The sequence below is a fragment of the Homo sapiens genome, chromosome 2 (genome assembly GCF_000001405.40).
Source record: "Homo sapiens chromosome 2, GRCh38.p14 Primary Assembly".
Lineage (NCBI taxonomy): Eukaryota > Metazoa > Chordata > Mammalia > Primates > Hominidae > Homo > Homo sapiens.
Window position 1 is genome coordinate 223,724,930 of NC_000002.12, and position 14,907 is coordinate 223,739,836.

At 43.3% G+C, this 14,907-nt stretch overlaps 3 annotated features.

Annotated features, from left to right (window-relative positions):
* Positions 366–1,565: an enhancer, noted in NCBI's record as "BRD4-independent group 4 enhancer chr2:224590012-224591211 (GRCh37/hg19 assembly coordinates)". NCBI's record gives its function as "activates an origin of replication core promoter dependent on BRD2, P300/CBP, MED14 and CDK7 cofactors, and independent of BRD4, by STARR-seq in HCT116 cells {active_cell/tissue: HCT116}" and the evidence as "EXISTENCE:reporter gene assay evidence [ECO:0000049][PMID:35650434]".
* Positions 366–1,928: a biological region, named in NCBI's record as "BRD4-independent group 4 enhancer GRCh37_chr2:224590012-224591211".
* Positions 1,261–1,928: an enhancer, noted in NCBI's record as "H3K27ac hESC enhancer chr2:224590907-224591574 (GRCh37/hg19 assembly coordinates)". NCBI's record gives its function as "activates a minimal SCP1, AML or CMV promoter by ChIP-STARR-seq in primed H9 embryonic stem cells {active_cell/tissue: H9 hESC(primed)}" and the evidence as "EXISTENCE:reporter gene assay evidence [ECO:0000049][PMID:30033119]".

The following is a 14,907-nucleotide window of genomic DNA, read 5'->3' on the forward strand; positions in this document are numbered from 1 at the left end:
GAGATCGCCTAAGAGACGGAAAAGGGAAGAGGGCTCAGGCTGCAGTTGCTAGACTTCTCTGGCTAATTCACCATGCCTCTGTGCATCTCAGATTCCCTGTCAGTTCACTGCAGGCAAAGCAATAAGGATACATCCTGTCTCAGGCTGGAAGGATGTAGGACTCATACTCTTCCTTTTGCTTCATTCTTGTTTCCCTGCATTTCTGGCAGGTAAGGAGATATTTTTATTCTTTTCCCTAACAGATTCTCAAAAAAGATCAAATGATTGCTGAGGGCTTCCTGGAGCAAAAGAGACAATCATTCTTAGCTCACAGTTCAACTTTCCTTCCATTGAATCCCACACATGTACCCCTGCAGATAAAGCTTCAGAAAGGGCCTTATTCATTTTCCTTTCACAATGTTCATGATAGTAGGGCCAGCAATGTTACTAACCTCTTTATGTAAACCCAATAAATTTGATTTGACATTTGAGCATGGAGAAGTAAATAGGCACAAAACCTTATCTACCAGTCACATAATCGTATCTGAAAATTCAGTTTCAACACCAAGATTTAAGAGAACCCAGCAGATCTTTTCGTCAATGAATCCACAAGTATTTACCGGGTGCCCTTGGGGTGCCTGGTACTGGATGCAGCTGCTTTTGTGAGCAAGCCAGCAGGTTCTCTGCCATGAAAATAGAAATTTAATCACTTGTCCATCCAAGCATTTCCCTTCAGCTTTTCCAGGATGCTTTTTTGTGAATGACTAACAGAATAGCTGCTGCAAAGACAGCCTGCAAATTCCAGCCGGAGGCCCTGGGAGGAAAGATGACTCACCCACGCCTGACGTCAAAGCCTCCCTTTCTTTCAGAGGAGTAGGAAGAGAATGGCAATGGCCTGGGTAGAATGACCTAAATGCCCTCCTGAGTCCTGTGTGGGTCCTGCTTCCTCTTCCCCCACCTGGCAATGATGATTTCAAACCAAAGAAAGTTTAAACTGTCAAACTTGAACTTCACTGTCAAGTTAACTAAAAAACTAGAAACAGAAGCCTTCCTTCCTGTCAAACAATGTCAAATCCTTATTATGAGTTCTTTTTCACTGGAAAATATTGAAAGCATTTCTTTTTTTTCACAGAGTGTTTTATATTGATTTGCATCTTAGTCTGTTTGAGCTGCTATAATGAATACCATAGACTGGGTGGCTTCAACAACAAACATTTATTTCTCATCATTCTGCAGCCTGGCAAGTCTGAGATCAAGTTGCTGACAGATTTCGTGTCTGGTGAAAGCCCTCTTTCTGGTTGGCAAGTGGCTATCTTTTTGTTGTATCCTCACTTGACAGAGAAGGGGTTGGGAGGAAGGAGAGCACACTAATCTCTTTTTATAAAAAACACTAATCCCATCCTGGGGGCTCCATCCTCATGATCAACTCACTACCCGCCAGCGGTCCCACCTCCAACTACCATCACAGTGGAGGTTAGGGTTTCAATATATGAATTTGGGGTTGCATTCCATAACAATTTGCTTACAACATCTCAACAGTGGCTGAGCGTGGTGGCTCATGCCTGCAGTCCCAGCACTTTGGGAGGCCGAGGCGGGAGAATTATTTGAGCCCAGGAGTTTGAGACTGGCTTGGGCAACATAGTGACACTGTGCCTCAGAAAAGGAAAGAAAGAAAGAGAGAAAGAGAAAGGAAGGGAGAGAGAGAGAAAGAGAGAGAGGGAGAGAGAGGGAGGGGGGAGGGGAGGGGAGGGGAGGGGAGGGGAGGGGAGGGAAAATCTCAACAATGACCTTTTCCAGTCTGCCTTTCACATCAGGATTTCCAAGGACTTTCCCAGATTATGCAAAGGGCCATTTCACTGTTCACTGTGTTCGTTATTCAAACAGAGCTTCAGGTATGTCAGGGCACCCACGGGGTACCATCATCCAACAAAGCTCTGACATCCCTGTGCAAATAGTCAAATTTCAAATTTGTCCTTGGAAACTTTTTGGTTGTCACACAATTCAGCCCCCAGGTATTTGTCCTGGGGTCTCCCATGTAAGCTATTCTCTAATTTAGTAAGCCCCTGAGCAGTGTCATCGAATTCATTCTAAATCTTTCTCTTTTCAAGGAGCCTGGATAGCTAATTCACCAGCGAAACCTAAATTGTTTACGACCACCACAAATGGGCTATTTACCTCTGAAGTCCTGATGCAAGTCATATGTCTGGCTACTCCAGCACCTACTAATCACTCAGTTCTTTGAATTTTTATTGCATAAGAGTCCTTATCCCTCTTTTGGGCATTTTTGGATATATTAACTTTTCATTGCATCGTACAATTTGTTTTGCAGCTGTTGAGGGTGATAGATAAACTTACTTAATCACCATCTTAATTTTTGCTTTTGGTTTTTAACTCCGAGTACCCATCGCAATGCCCTAAACTAAAGGTTTACCCAGTAAGAGTTTATTAGGTTGAAATGAACTTACATTTTGGTAATTCTTGGAACTATAGTCTAATGGGATAAATTTAATGGTAGCATTTCAGACGTTATAGCAGATGAGCAGCAAAGATAATTTGAGATTACAAGGACTTTTGGAACCCCCAAACATAGCCACATATATGCTATTGATGTGGAATGCTGGCCCTAATTAGTTTGATGCTGGTCCTGCCCCAATTCAGGCCTCAGTGTAATATTATCACCCAAACTCACACAGGACTGTTCAGTAACAGGAAACCAATTATAAGGTACCAAATTAGAATGCGAGAAGGACTTGGCCTATGAACTCTTACACCAGCAGAGGGCACTTCCTTCTAGCATGCAAGTCGGCTAAGGAAAGCAAATTAGAATGAGAAGATGCCTGATGACTGCTGGATACGAGTTACACAGAGATATTTTCCAATAAGCTATGGAAAGCAAATGAATGGCCCTTTCCTTCTCTAGAAGGATAAATCTTTGCTCACTTGGAATTGGAATCCCAGTCCTTTGGGAAATGCTTAGAGTAAGCTGATAAATTCTTATTCTCTGACTCCCTTTCTAAAGTTTATATGAACCGGCCGGGCACGGTGGCTCACGCCTGTAATCCCAGCACTTTGGGAGGCCGAGGTGGGTGGATCACAAGGTCAGGAGTTCGAGACCAGCCTGGCCAAGATGGTGAAACCCCGTCTCTACTACAAATAAAAAATTAGCCGGGCGTGGTGGCAGGCGCCTGTAGTCCCAGCTACTCGGGAGGCTGAGGCAGGAGAATTCCTTGAACCTGGGAGGCGGAGGTTGCAGTGAGCCAAGATTGTGCCACTGCACTCTAGGCTGGGTGACAGAGCGAGACTTCATCTCAAAAAAAAAAAAAAAGTTTATATGAACCTACATCTTCTGAGTTCCACATTTTCATCTATTTCAAATCTCCTTGTCTTTCCCCATTGTCTTTAAGGGGACATCCCTGTACTGTTATTATTATCACTCATACTGAGACTCTGCCTGTTTTAATCCTGGGGAAAATTTCAATCAAGCGTTTGTCTGATAGCCTTTTAAGTCTTTCTGATATTCAACCCGGAGTCTCCCAAATTCGGGTGTACACCAAGAAAGTGAGGGATTTCTAGGAGTTCATGCTAAACAGATTCAAACTCCAGGCATCTACTGGGGGAAAAAAGGCGGTGTTATAAATAATTATTGTGGATCAGAAATAGACAGATTGTTCTTGGTTATTATAATACAGGGGATTATAATTTGGGTGCAGTAAATCCCCAGATGAAGCATGGGGTAAGTGTTGGAGGCATGCTGGCACTTCGATTTTAGTTCTGTGGAACTCAACTTGTGATGGTAGTAATAATAATCCCAATTACAAAAACTGAGGTACAGAGAAGTTAAATAACTTGAGTAATATCACAGCTTGTGATAAAGCTAAGATTTGAACTAAGTTCAGTCTGGCTCAGAAGTTTCTCTGCACTTCCCGCTGTTATCTTGGGCCCAAGTGTTGCTGCCTCTCAACTCCAGGAACCAGCAAACATATTTCCATGGACTAGCTGTTTGTTTTCGGTAGGTTTTTCATCTCTGTCAACAGTGGTTTTAAAGTAAAATAAGAAAAGTGAGAGTTATCTGCATGAAATATATCTTCAATTTTCTTGAATGTCTTTTCCTCTTGTGTATTTACTTCCTTATCCCATTCCTGAAATAAATCAAGTCAACTAAACTTTGCAACATAGTGTGTATAAGCTGATCTTCCTACCGCCTTGAATGAACTTTCATTTTCTGGCCCCACCATCTGTCCAACGTACTTCCCACTGTGCTTTCTCTCCTTCTTCTCTTCTCAGAGGTCTGAATGGCAATTCTTTAGGGCCCTCGTCTTAGTCCTGAAACTCCTCAGAGGCCGAGGCCACCCCTGGAAGGTTCCTGCTCCAAGTTTCTAGTTTCCAATAATCCCAACATCTTGCCTTTGTGTCCTAAAAGTGACAACTGCTTTATGCTGTCAATGCCTCTGTGATACATCAGGATTCCCTTTTAGCTATTTAAGTTCTCTATCCTGGGCCAGGCATGGTGGCTCATTCCTGTAGTTCCAGCAATTTGAGAGGTGAGATGAGAGGATTGCTTGAGGCTAGGAGTTCAAGACCAGCCTGGTCAACATAGCAAGACCTCATTTTTGCAAAAAAAATTTTTTTTTTCTTTTTGAGACAACGTCTCCAGCTCAGGCTTGAGCGCAGTGGCATGATCTTGGCTCACTGCAACCTCCGCCTCCTGGGTTCAAGCAATTCTCCTGCCTCAGCCTCCCCAGTAGCTGGGATTACAGGCGCCCACCACCACACCCGGCTAATTTTTGTATTTTTAGTAGAGACAGGGTTTCACCATGTTGGCCAGGCTGGTCTCGAACTCCTCTGACCTTAGGTGATCTGCCCACCTCAACCAAAATTTTTTTTTAATCCTTTATTCTGTTTAGCCAATTCTTTATATTAAATTCTGTTAAAATAACTGATATCTGTTTTTATGACAGGATCCTAACTATACAGTAATGGTTATAAGGAATTGGAATTCTCTGCCCTCCTCTGGCTCACATATGTCTTCCTAAGGCATCTGAAGTATGCGATATTCCCTGTTCATCTCAATCCAGTCAGCACAATGTCATCAATGCTGTGGACTAGCATGCTATTCTTTGGAATGTCAAAATAATCAAAATCGCTGCAGATACAATATGGCAGACAGTAAGAGAGCTGACATGGCCCTGTGCATACACTAAGAAAGTATACTCTTTGCCCTATCAGGAAAAAACAAACTCCTTCTGGCAGTCTTTGCAAATTGGTGTGGAGGAAATAGCATTTGCTGGGTCAATCACTTCATATCCAATTCCAGGGGCTACAAGGTTTTTATTAGTAAATGTAGTGTATCTGGAACAGATGCTACAACTGGATTCACCATCTGAGTAAGTTTATGAAAATCCACAGGCATTTTCTAACATCTGGCTTTCTTTTGCACAAGGCAAAGTAAATGTGAATATGACAAATGTCACCACCCCTGCATCTTACAAGTCTTCCAAAAGGACCTTGAGGTCCTTTTGGAAAAAGGCTTAGAGGAATACTTAGAGTATATACTTGTAACTGTGTGATGTGTGTGTGTGTGTGTTCAAATCAAACAATAATTCTATCTTATGAGAATCTACTATATATGGGGCATTGAGTAAAAAAAGAAAAGATCATGAGACAAGGAAGCTGCCCTCGAGTGATTTTTTGCTGGGAGTGATTGACAAGTAGAAGTAAGTGCAGACAGATAAATTGTAACACAATCATCAAGTGGCGTAATACAGTACAAAATTAAGTGGCAAGGAGCATTTTATATAGGAATGGCACAGGCCGGGCACAGTGGCTTAGGCCTGTAATCCCAGCACTATGGGAGGCTGAGGAGGTCGGATCACCTGAGGTCAGGAGTTCGAGACTAGCCTGACCAACATGGAGAAACCCTGTCTCTACTAAAAATATAAAAACTTAGCTGAGCATGGTGGCACATGCCTGTAATCCCAGCTACTCGGGAGGCTGAGGCAGGAGAATCTCTTGAACATGGGAGGCAGAGGTTGCGGTGAGCCACGATCGCACCATTGTACTCCCGCCTGGGCGACAAGAGCGAAACTCCGTCTCGGGAAAAAAAAAAAAAAAGAGTGGCACAGATTACATCTTAACACCATGAGTTTGAGCCTTCTCCCAAAGTTGGACAAAAGCTTTAAACTCCTCAAAGGCAGCCCAGTCTTGCTTTTACTACTTTGCCCTTTAGAATAGGGACTGACTTCAGTACCGACCTCAGACGAGAAGTTCACTGTCTGGTGATCTCATTACTGTCACAGATGCTGTTTCCACTCTTCTAATGAGGCTTCATTTAAACAAGAAATGGGCCTTCATTTGTTTAATGAGGCCCATTTAAACAAGAAGAAGGAGAAGGAAGAGAGGAAGAGGAAAGAAAAGAAGAAAGAAAATAAAGAGAAGGCTGAAAACAACAACAACAAAAAAACTCTGCTTTAAATGTCCTCTGCACTGGGAGTCACAAGTGAGGGTGTTTTTTAACCTTAGGTAAAGATACCTTTAATAAAAGGTTCCTTGTTCCTGGTTCACCCAGATAAAAGCAGATCAAAAAAGCCAGTACAAGAGGGACAGGCCAAAATGAAAGCTTGTTAGAAAATATGAGATAAATTTTTGGCCATGTCTTCTATAAATTGCCTGGGGCTCTCGACACTATATTTAGCCTCCTGAATTCAAGTCTATGCCCTAAATACAGTAACTAAGAGGAGGAGCCTGATGTAACTGACATACAGGCTGCTGAGTATCTTTGAAGGGTATAATTCACACATCAATACCAGTCATTCCCATTTTTCTGCGTCACTCACTCTCCAGGGACAATTTTAAATCATCTGTGGGTAGACAGTTCAGCCAACTAAAATTTAAAATGTTCATAAAATAGCTCCTGTACAAATAAAACCAATGCCCATAAGGACATCTTATTCTCCTTTTTGGGCCTCTTTCTCTCTATTTGCTTCCTCCTTTAGCACATAGTAATAGTCATTCATCCCAGAATGGGCTCACCAGATCCTGATTACGTACTCATACCTTCAGAAAATGTTTAGTGACCATTGCCATGCACCAGGCCTTTATGCCAAGCTCTAGGGATACAATGATAATCAACATAGAGCTCCTGATCTCAAGAAAATCATAGTCTAGAGGAGAATACAGATAAATAAGCAGTCAATATTAAAGAGCTGAGATAGGAAAGCACTAGAATAGTAGGGAAGCACCTAACCATTAAGTGCTGGTAGGCAGGTGTATTAGTCTGTTCTCACGCTGCTAATTAAGACATATCAAAGACTGGGTAATTTATAAAGGAAAGAGGTTTAATGGACTCACAGTTCCACATGGCTGTGGAACTTCTGCCACGTCTCACAATCATGGCAGAAGGCAAATGAGGAGCAAAATCACATCCTCAATCACATCATGGCAGCAGACAAGACAGCCTGTGCAGGGGAACTGCCCTTTATAAAACCATCAGATCTCCTGAGACTTATTCACTATCATGAGAACAGCACAGGAAAGACCCGCCCCCAAGATTCTATTACCTCCCACCGGGTCCCTCCCATGACATGTGGAGATCAGGGGAGCTACAATGCAAGATGAGACTTGGATGGGGACAGAGCCAAACCATATCAGCAGGAATCAGGGAAGGCCTCCTGAAGATAAAAAGAATTTAATGTCAGCGTTTTATTCAACAAATATTTCCTGAGCACCTACTTTGCATAAGCACTGTTACAGACCCTAAGGAGACAGTAATGAATAAGACAAGATCCCTGCCCTAGAAGAGCTTATTGAAAGAGACTGACAAAAAAGGAACAATAATTATATAATATAGCTTTAGGTAGTGATAACTGCCAAAAGCAACTAAAGCAAAGCAAGAAAGTAAAGAAAGATAAAGAACATAAAATAAAATACAGTGCATTTTATTTAAAAGTTTAAAACTAAAGAAATAGAAAATGATGAAACAGTCAGGAACAGTCACTTTCAGTGGGAGGCATTCAAGCATAAAATGGAGTCAAACAAGGAAGTCAACCATTGGCTCTTTTTCTTTTAATTTTTAGAAATGGGATCTTGCTATGTTGCCCAGCCTGGTCTCAAACTCCTGGGCTCAAGAAATCTTCCCACCTCAGCCTCCCAAAGTGCTAGGATTATAGGCGTGAACCAGCAAGCCTGGCCAATCATTAGCTCTTTATTGCCAAATGGTGTCTGTAACAAGCCATCCAGAAGCCTCTGTGAGGTACAACACTGAGCTCGTACTGCCCACACGTTTAGGGAGCTTGGCTGGGTGGCTCTGCTGATCTTGGCTGATCTTGGCTGGGCTCACACACAAGTTATTGACGGAAACCAATGAAGCTAGAGCAAGACCGACACAGGGGAGAACAACTTGAGGCTAGAGAGGGTGGCAGGAGCTAGATTAACATAGGGAATGGTAAAGAATTGGAATGTGAGTTAAGGTGTGATGGGAAGCTTTTGGAGATTTTTGAGAAAGGAAGAGGCATGATGTGATTATTGTTTGAAAAAGATCACCTTTTTAACAACAGGATAGGTCATAGTCAAGAGTGGAAGTGACGAGCTAAGGGACCTTTATTATTACAAAGGCAATATTTTGGCAATAAATGTTGGTGGCTTAGACTAGAGTAGCAAAGGCAGAGGTGACGGAAATGTCAGTTTTTTATTTTTTATTTTTATTTTTTTTGAGATGGAGTCTTGCTCTGTCACTCAGGCAGGAGTGCAATGGCACGATCTTGGCTCACTGCAACCTCTGCTTCCTGGGTTCAAGCAATTCTCCTGTCTCAGCGTCCTGAGTAGCTGGGACTACAGGTGCCCACCACTATGTCTGGCTAATTTTTATATTTTTAGTAGAGACAGGATTTCACCATATTGGTCAGGCTGGTCTCAAACTCCTGACCTCAGGTGATCCACCCGTCTCAGTTTCCCAAAGTGCTGGAATTACAGGCTTGAGCCACTGGGCCCAGCCAGAAATAGTCAGATTTTTAAAAAATAGTTTGAAGATACATCCAGCAGATCCTAAAGGTGGACTGCAGGTGGGTCAGTAAGGGAGAGGATAATCCAGCCCCAGAAGTGGATTCTGTAGGCTGGACTTGCCAGGCACCCCTACAACAACATATAGTAGATTTCCTTGGTTGCCACCAGAGAGTTGCCCAGAGAAGTGACATTGCCCTGTTCTGCCACTCTGACAGCTGTCACCAGCAGATTCAATATAAGATGGCCTATTCTTCACCCCTGGCTGCCAGTGGGGCCCAAAAAGATGTGAGCAGGCTCAAGGGTTGGCAGTCTTGGGCTTGAATCCAGTCCCTCCCAGCTACCAGCAGTGTGGGCTTTGCAAAGCTTCACCTCACTGAGTCCCAGCCTCCTCTTTAAAGTAGGAGTAATACAATCTACAATACAATAAAGTAGGGGTAATACAATCTACTTCGCAGGTCCATTGCGAGGACTAAGTTGAAAAACTCTATAGACAAGCACCTACCAGGATGCCTATACTCTCCCACATTGGATACCACCATTAAGTGAATGAAGGCAGCCATCTCCAGGAATCAGTAGTTCTGTGAGCTGTTTAATAAGTACTTGCTGGAAAAATATTTCTGGCACTCAAATACAATTATGAAATGCCAAGTTCAAAGGTCTCTTTACAATAGGAGTTTCCAGAATCTGCAATGGGCTAAAGATGTGCTGTGATTCTCCATGAGAAAGAAGAAAGTATGCAAATTTGCTGAATGTTTCTCAGGTATTTTCATAGGACCCTTATTTTCTTAAATATCTCCTGAGATGACTTGGACATTTCACATCTTGGAAAATAGTGGTGTTAAAGCTTTGTGGGTTTTTTTTTTTTTAAGACAGGGTCTCACTCTGTCATCCAGGCTGGAGTGCAGTAGCATGATCTTGGCTCACTGCAATCTCCACCTCCTGGGTTCAAGTGATTCTCCTGCCTCAGCCTCCCAAGTATCTGGGATTACAGGTGCCCATCACCATGTTCAGCTAATTTTTTGTATTTTTAGTAGAGACAGGGTTTCACCATGTTGGCCAGGCTAGTCTTGAACTCTTGACCTCAAGTGATCTGCCTGCCTCAGCCTCCCAAAGTGCTGGGATTATAGGCATGAGCCACCACTCCCGGTCAGTATAAAAGCTTTGTATTTCAAGCCCCAAGTGTTTAGCAGAAATAGCCATTGGGCCACTTGCCCTCTCTGAAGGGAAGTGCATGTAACAGGATCCAGTCCCCACCTTCAGAGCTGCCAGGAGTGGCAGTTCAGAAAAGTGGAATCTGAGGCCAAGTCTAAGGGGTCAAATTTCAGGCAAAAATGCTTGAGCAACATGGAACTGAGAAAAGAAGGCAAGCAGGGAGTCTGGCGTTGGAGGCCAGAGAGCAGAGGTGGGAAACCAGAATCCCAAATGTAGAAACAGCACAACAAAAGAGAAGAGGGAGAATGGAAAGGATGGTTGAACAGAGGCCAATAAAAAAGGAAGGAAGTTCAATCTTAGTTCAAAGCAAATATTGTGACTGTGGGAACGTGGCCCTCTTCCTCCTATCCTTGGCGTGTTCTATCTGGGCTAGGGGCAGGGCCTGAAGAGGCAAGTTCTGATTAGATAATTGAGATGTTTGCATGGACTTGCCAACTGGACAGAAATGGGTTCGTGCCAGGGGTATCTCTTTTGGAGCACCAAACATGTGGAGGCCCCAGGGAGAGGCTAGGGGAGGTAGGATCCAAGCAGGAATGCTCAGAGGCCATTGAAGGACCCCAAAGATGAATAACTTGTTTCTCACTGTTGCGTGAGGTTAGCCCTGCTTGGCCTGAAGCTCTAACCTCTTACTGTAGGTCACGTGTTCATAGAGGAGCCCTGTGCAGGACCCTCAGTACCTCTAAGGACACCTAGGACTTTGAAGTTCCCGAAAGACACACCCACATCTCTGTCTTGCCCTCCTCCTCATGTTCAAACTTCCATTCCTCCATTTTGAGCATCTTCTTGGCCAATCTAAAAACACACAAAAATCAATTTTAAAAACATCATGAGCCAGGAATTTGGCCTTTACTCAGATGTTTCTTTGGCAAAGTTCCTCAACATGTTTGTCATCAACCAACTCACCACTTTCCTGAACCAGTTTTTTCTGTGACTGCAGAGTGTATGCTTCAGAAGAATGTCTGCTATCACTGCATCAGCTCAATTCCACTCAATCAAGTGCTCATCACTGGATCTGGCTGACGTGTGTTGAAAATTCTCTAATTGTCAGGCATTGAACCAAGCTCTGACATGCTTTACTTAATTTATTTAATTCCCACATCCCCACAACAAACTTAAAAAGAAAGGAGGAGGTAATTTTTTTTCCAGTTTCACTGATGAGAAAACTGTGAAGTTGGGAAAAACCCAAGTTCCCACAGAGAGTAAGTGCCTGAGCTGGGATTCTAACCCAGATCCAAGTGCACAACCTTACACAGGATGTTAAATAAGAAATCCTAGTCCAGTTCCAATGCTGAACTGGGAATCTGGAGGTGCGGGTTCCGGTTCCAACTCTACAATTTGCTTTCCAGTGGCAAAGTCACTCACTGGGCCCCTTTCTCCCTTAAAACAGAGGCATGGGGTTATGAGATGCATACTGAAAGCCCTTTCAGTGACAGACTAGTCTATGTCTGTAGATTGTAACAATCATTAGTCCCTGTGCTCGTTTTTCTAAAATTAATGCACCCACCCCATCTCATCTTGAATTGTAGCTCCCATAATTCCCATGTGTGGTGGGAGGCACCCGGTGGGAGGTGATGGAATCATGGGGGCGGTTTCTCCCATACTGTTCTCATGGTAGGGAATAAGTCTCATGAGGTCTGATGGTTTTATAAGGGGTTTCCCCTTTCACTTGGCTCTCATTCTCTCTTGTCTGCCACCATGTGAGACGTCCCCTTCACCTGCCACCATGATTGGGAGGCCTCCCCAGCCACATGGAACCTTGAGTCCATTAAACCTCTTTTTCTGTGTAAATTACCCAGTCTCGGGTATGTCTTTATCAGCAGCATGAAAATGGACTAATACATAAAGGTTTAGGATTTTTTTTCTTCTATTCAGTTTTTTGAGGCAGTCTGGGGCATTTCCCTGGATTCTTTTCATTCTGTTTTCATTCCCAGGATCCATCTCCCTTCCCCAAAGCACTCTCATTTTCTTGAGGGTGACTCCTACTCTGACCTGTGGGGTGTGGGGCAGGCACTTGGCAGTAGGGTACTTCTGGGCATCTGCCTCCCTCCACAGACATGGAGGAGTGCCTTCATCTACCCTGGATGGCCAGGGCTGGGCATGACACCATACCAGAGTCATTCCGATTTAAGCTCACTGACCTCAGGACACTAGACACCATGGGTGATCTCAGATCAAATCTTGTGGTGCTTTGGGAGCTACAGTTCAGGGGTAGCAGAAGCTACATTACGTGGTATGGCATCTGTGCTGGCTGCAGCTTCCTAGCTACACTGCTTCTGTAGAGTGACTTCGGCTGCCGACCTGCAGCTGAGCTCTCTAGAGCTGCCCTGGGCCCTGCCCTTTTCCCAGTCTGGTTTTCTTGACTCCTCATCAACGTGATGTGCTTGCTAATGTCGTTTCAGTTCTTCTTCCCTCTCCTTTCTCTTTCTCCTTTCCTTTCTCTCTTTCTTTCCTTTTTATATTAGAGCCATTGCTTGCTATCAAGAACCCTGGGTAATACTACTATTTAGGTTTGAGTTTACATGTCAAGTATATCTTGGTGTTTGAGATATTTTTTCCACCGATTCTTCTGAAACTAATCTTTTAAAATTACCTTCAAATTCACTTTATAAATCATACACACAAAGCTGGTCTCATTAAATTGACATGCCTTATTTTTACCTAAAAGGTTTTCACCTAAGTCAATCATCCACCATATTTCTCCAGGCGTCACTTCAAGAGACTGCCAAATACCAAGCTGCCGACCAGTGATTTGGCTGCCTCACCAGCTGGCAGGCAAGTGAGAAAACACTGCTCTAGTGGTCGTTTCCTAGGGTCAGTTTTGGCTTGAAATTGAGCCCCCTGCAGACCTCTCCCATCCCAAGGTTGCTGCTCTATTACAAACTCATTCATTTCTTCCATTAGCGTAATTCACCCAGGTCCTTTCTGTACTTAAGGTATTACTAAATAAGGGATGTATGAGCAGACAAATGGATGAAGGACTAAATAAAAGAACAATTTTTCCATCTTTCCTGGATCTTAAACTCAAACATTTGAAAAATGTTAACCATGATCCAGCCCTGGTTTAATTAACTCCTAGTTCTTTGTGTGTGAGGTGTCTGGCCTAAATACAATCTCATCCACTGGAATTATGAAAGGGATCCTTGGAAGCAGTTTCAAGAACTCCATTGTGCTGTGGCACTGTAAATATCTCTAACATGAGGGGAAGAAGTGGGCACATTGATGTAATGGCCAGAAGTATAAGGCCTTCACATGATTTCTAGATTTTTTTATTTTTTTATTTTCTTCCGAGACAGAGTCTTGCTCTGTTGCCCAGGCTGGAGTGCAGTGGCATAACCTCAGCTCACTGCAACCTCTGCCTCCCGGGTTCAAGCAATTCCCCTGCCTCAGCCTCCTGAGTAGCTAGGATTACAGGCGCACGCCACCACGTCTGGCTAATTTTTGTATTTTTAGTAGAGACGGGGTTCCACCATGTTGGCTAGGCTGGTCTTGAACTCCTGACCTCGTGATCCGCCCACCTTGGCCTCCCAAAGTGCTGGGATTACAGGCATGAGCCACCACACCCAGCCAATTTCTAAATTTTTTTGCTTGTCTACCAAATTAAGAAAGAGAGAGAAAGGAGAGAAAAAGCAAAAACCAAATATAAACCAAGCTAGCCTTCTCCATAAACTGACATGTTTTTAAACTTCAGAAAAAAAATTATATTAGAATAATAGATATAGCAATAGAAATATACTTGAGAGGTTTTTGTTTGTTTTTGGGAAAAAAGAATCTAGAAATTGTAGAGTCAATTCAACTCAACATATTAATACAACAAGTATTAATTGGAAAACTACTATGGATTTATTCATTTGTTCTTTCATGCAATAAAAATCTGCCCCTAGGACATGCCCTACTGTGAGCTATGGGTACCGAGAGACCAGTTCCTGCCTTCTGGGGTGCCTCAGAGTTTAGTGGGGGATTAGATACATACACTGACACAACAGCTACTTAAGAACTAAGTTAGCAGAACAAAAAAGAAGCAGCACCCTCCTTTACCTGGGAAGGTTGAGAGAGTGATGCTGGGTACTAAAGATGAAAAGGTATCCTCAGGCAGGTAGAAAAGGGACCTGTATTAGTCCATTTGCATGCTGCTGATAAAGACATACCTGAGAGTGGGAAGAAAAGAGGTTTAATTGGACTTAGAGTTCTACATGGCTGGGGAGGCCTCAGAATCATGGCGGGAGGTGAAGGGCACTTCTTACATGGCGGCAGCAAGAGAAAAATGAGGAAGAAGCAAAAGCAGAAACCTCTGATAAACCCATCAGATCTCATGAGACTTATTCACTATCATGAGAACAGCACAGGAAAGACCAGTCCCATGATTCAATTACCTCCCCCTGGACCCTCCCACAACACGTGGGAATTCTAGGAGAAACAATTCAAGTTGAGATTTGGGTGGGGACACAGCAAACCATATCAGGACCTTTTGGGACCCTACTGCATGCCAGGCTCTTTACTAAGCAGGGTTCTAGCTACTGCAGATATGGAGTTTCTGCCCTCAAAAAGTACACATTATAGAGAGGGAGAAGACAAATGCAATAAATGCATGAATACATGAACAAATAGGTAAGCAACAAAACAAACCAATGGAATAATTTCAAATAAAGTAAGTGTTATAAAGAAAATAAAACAGGGTTATGGGCAAGACAGTGACAGTGGGGAGACAGATTGCTACTGAAC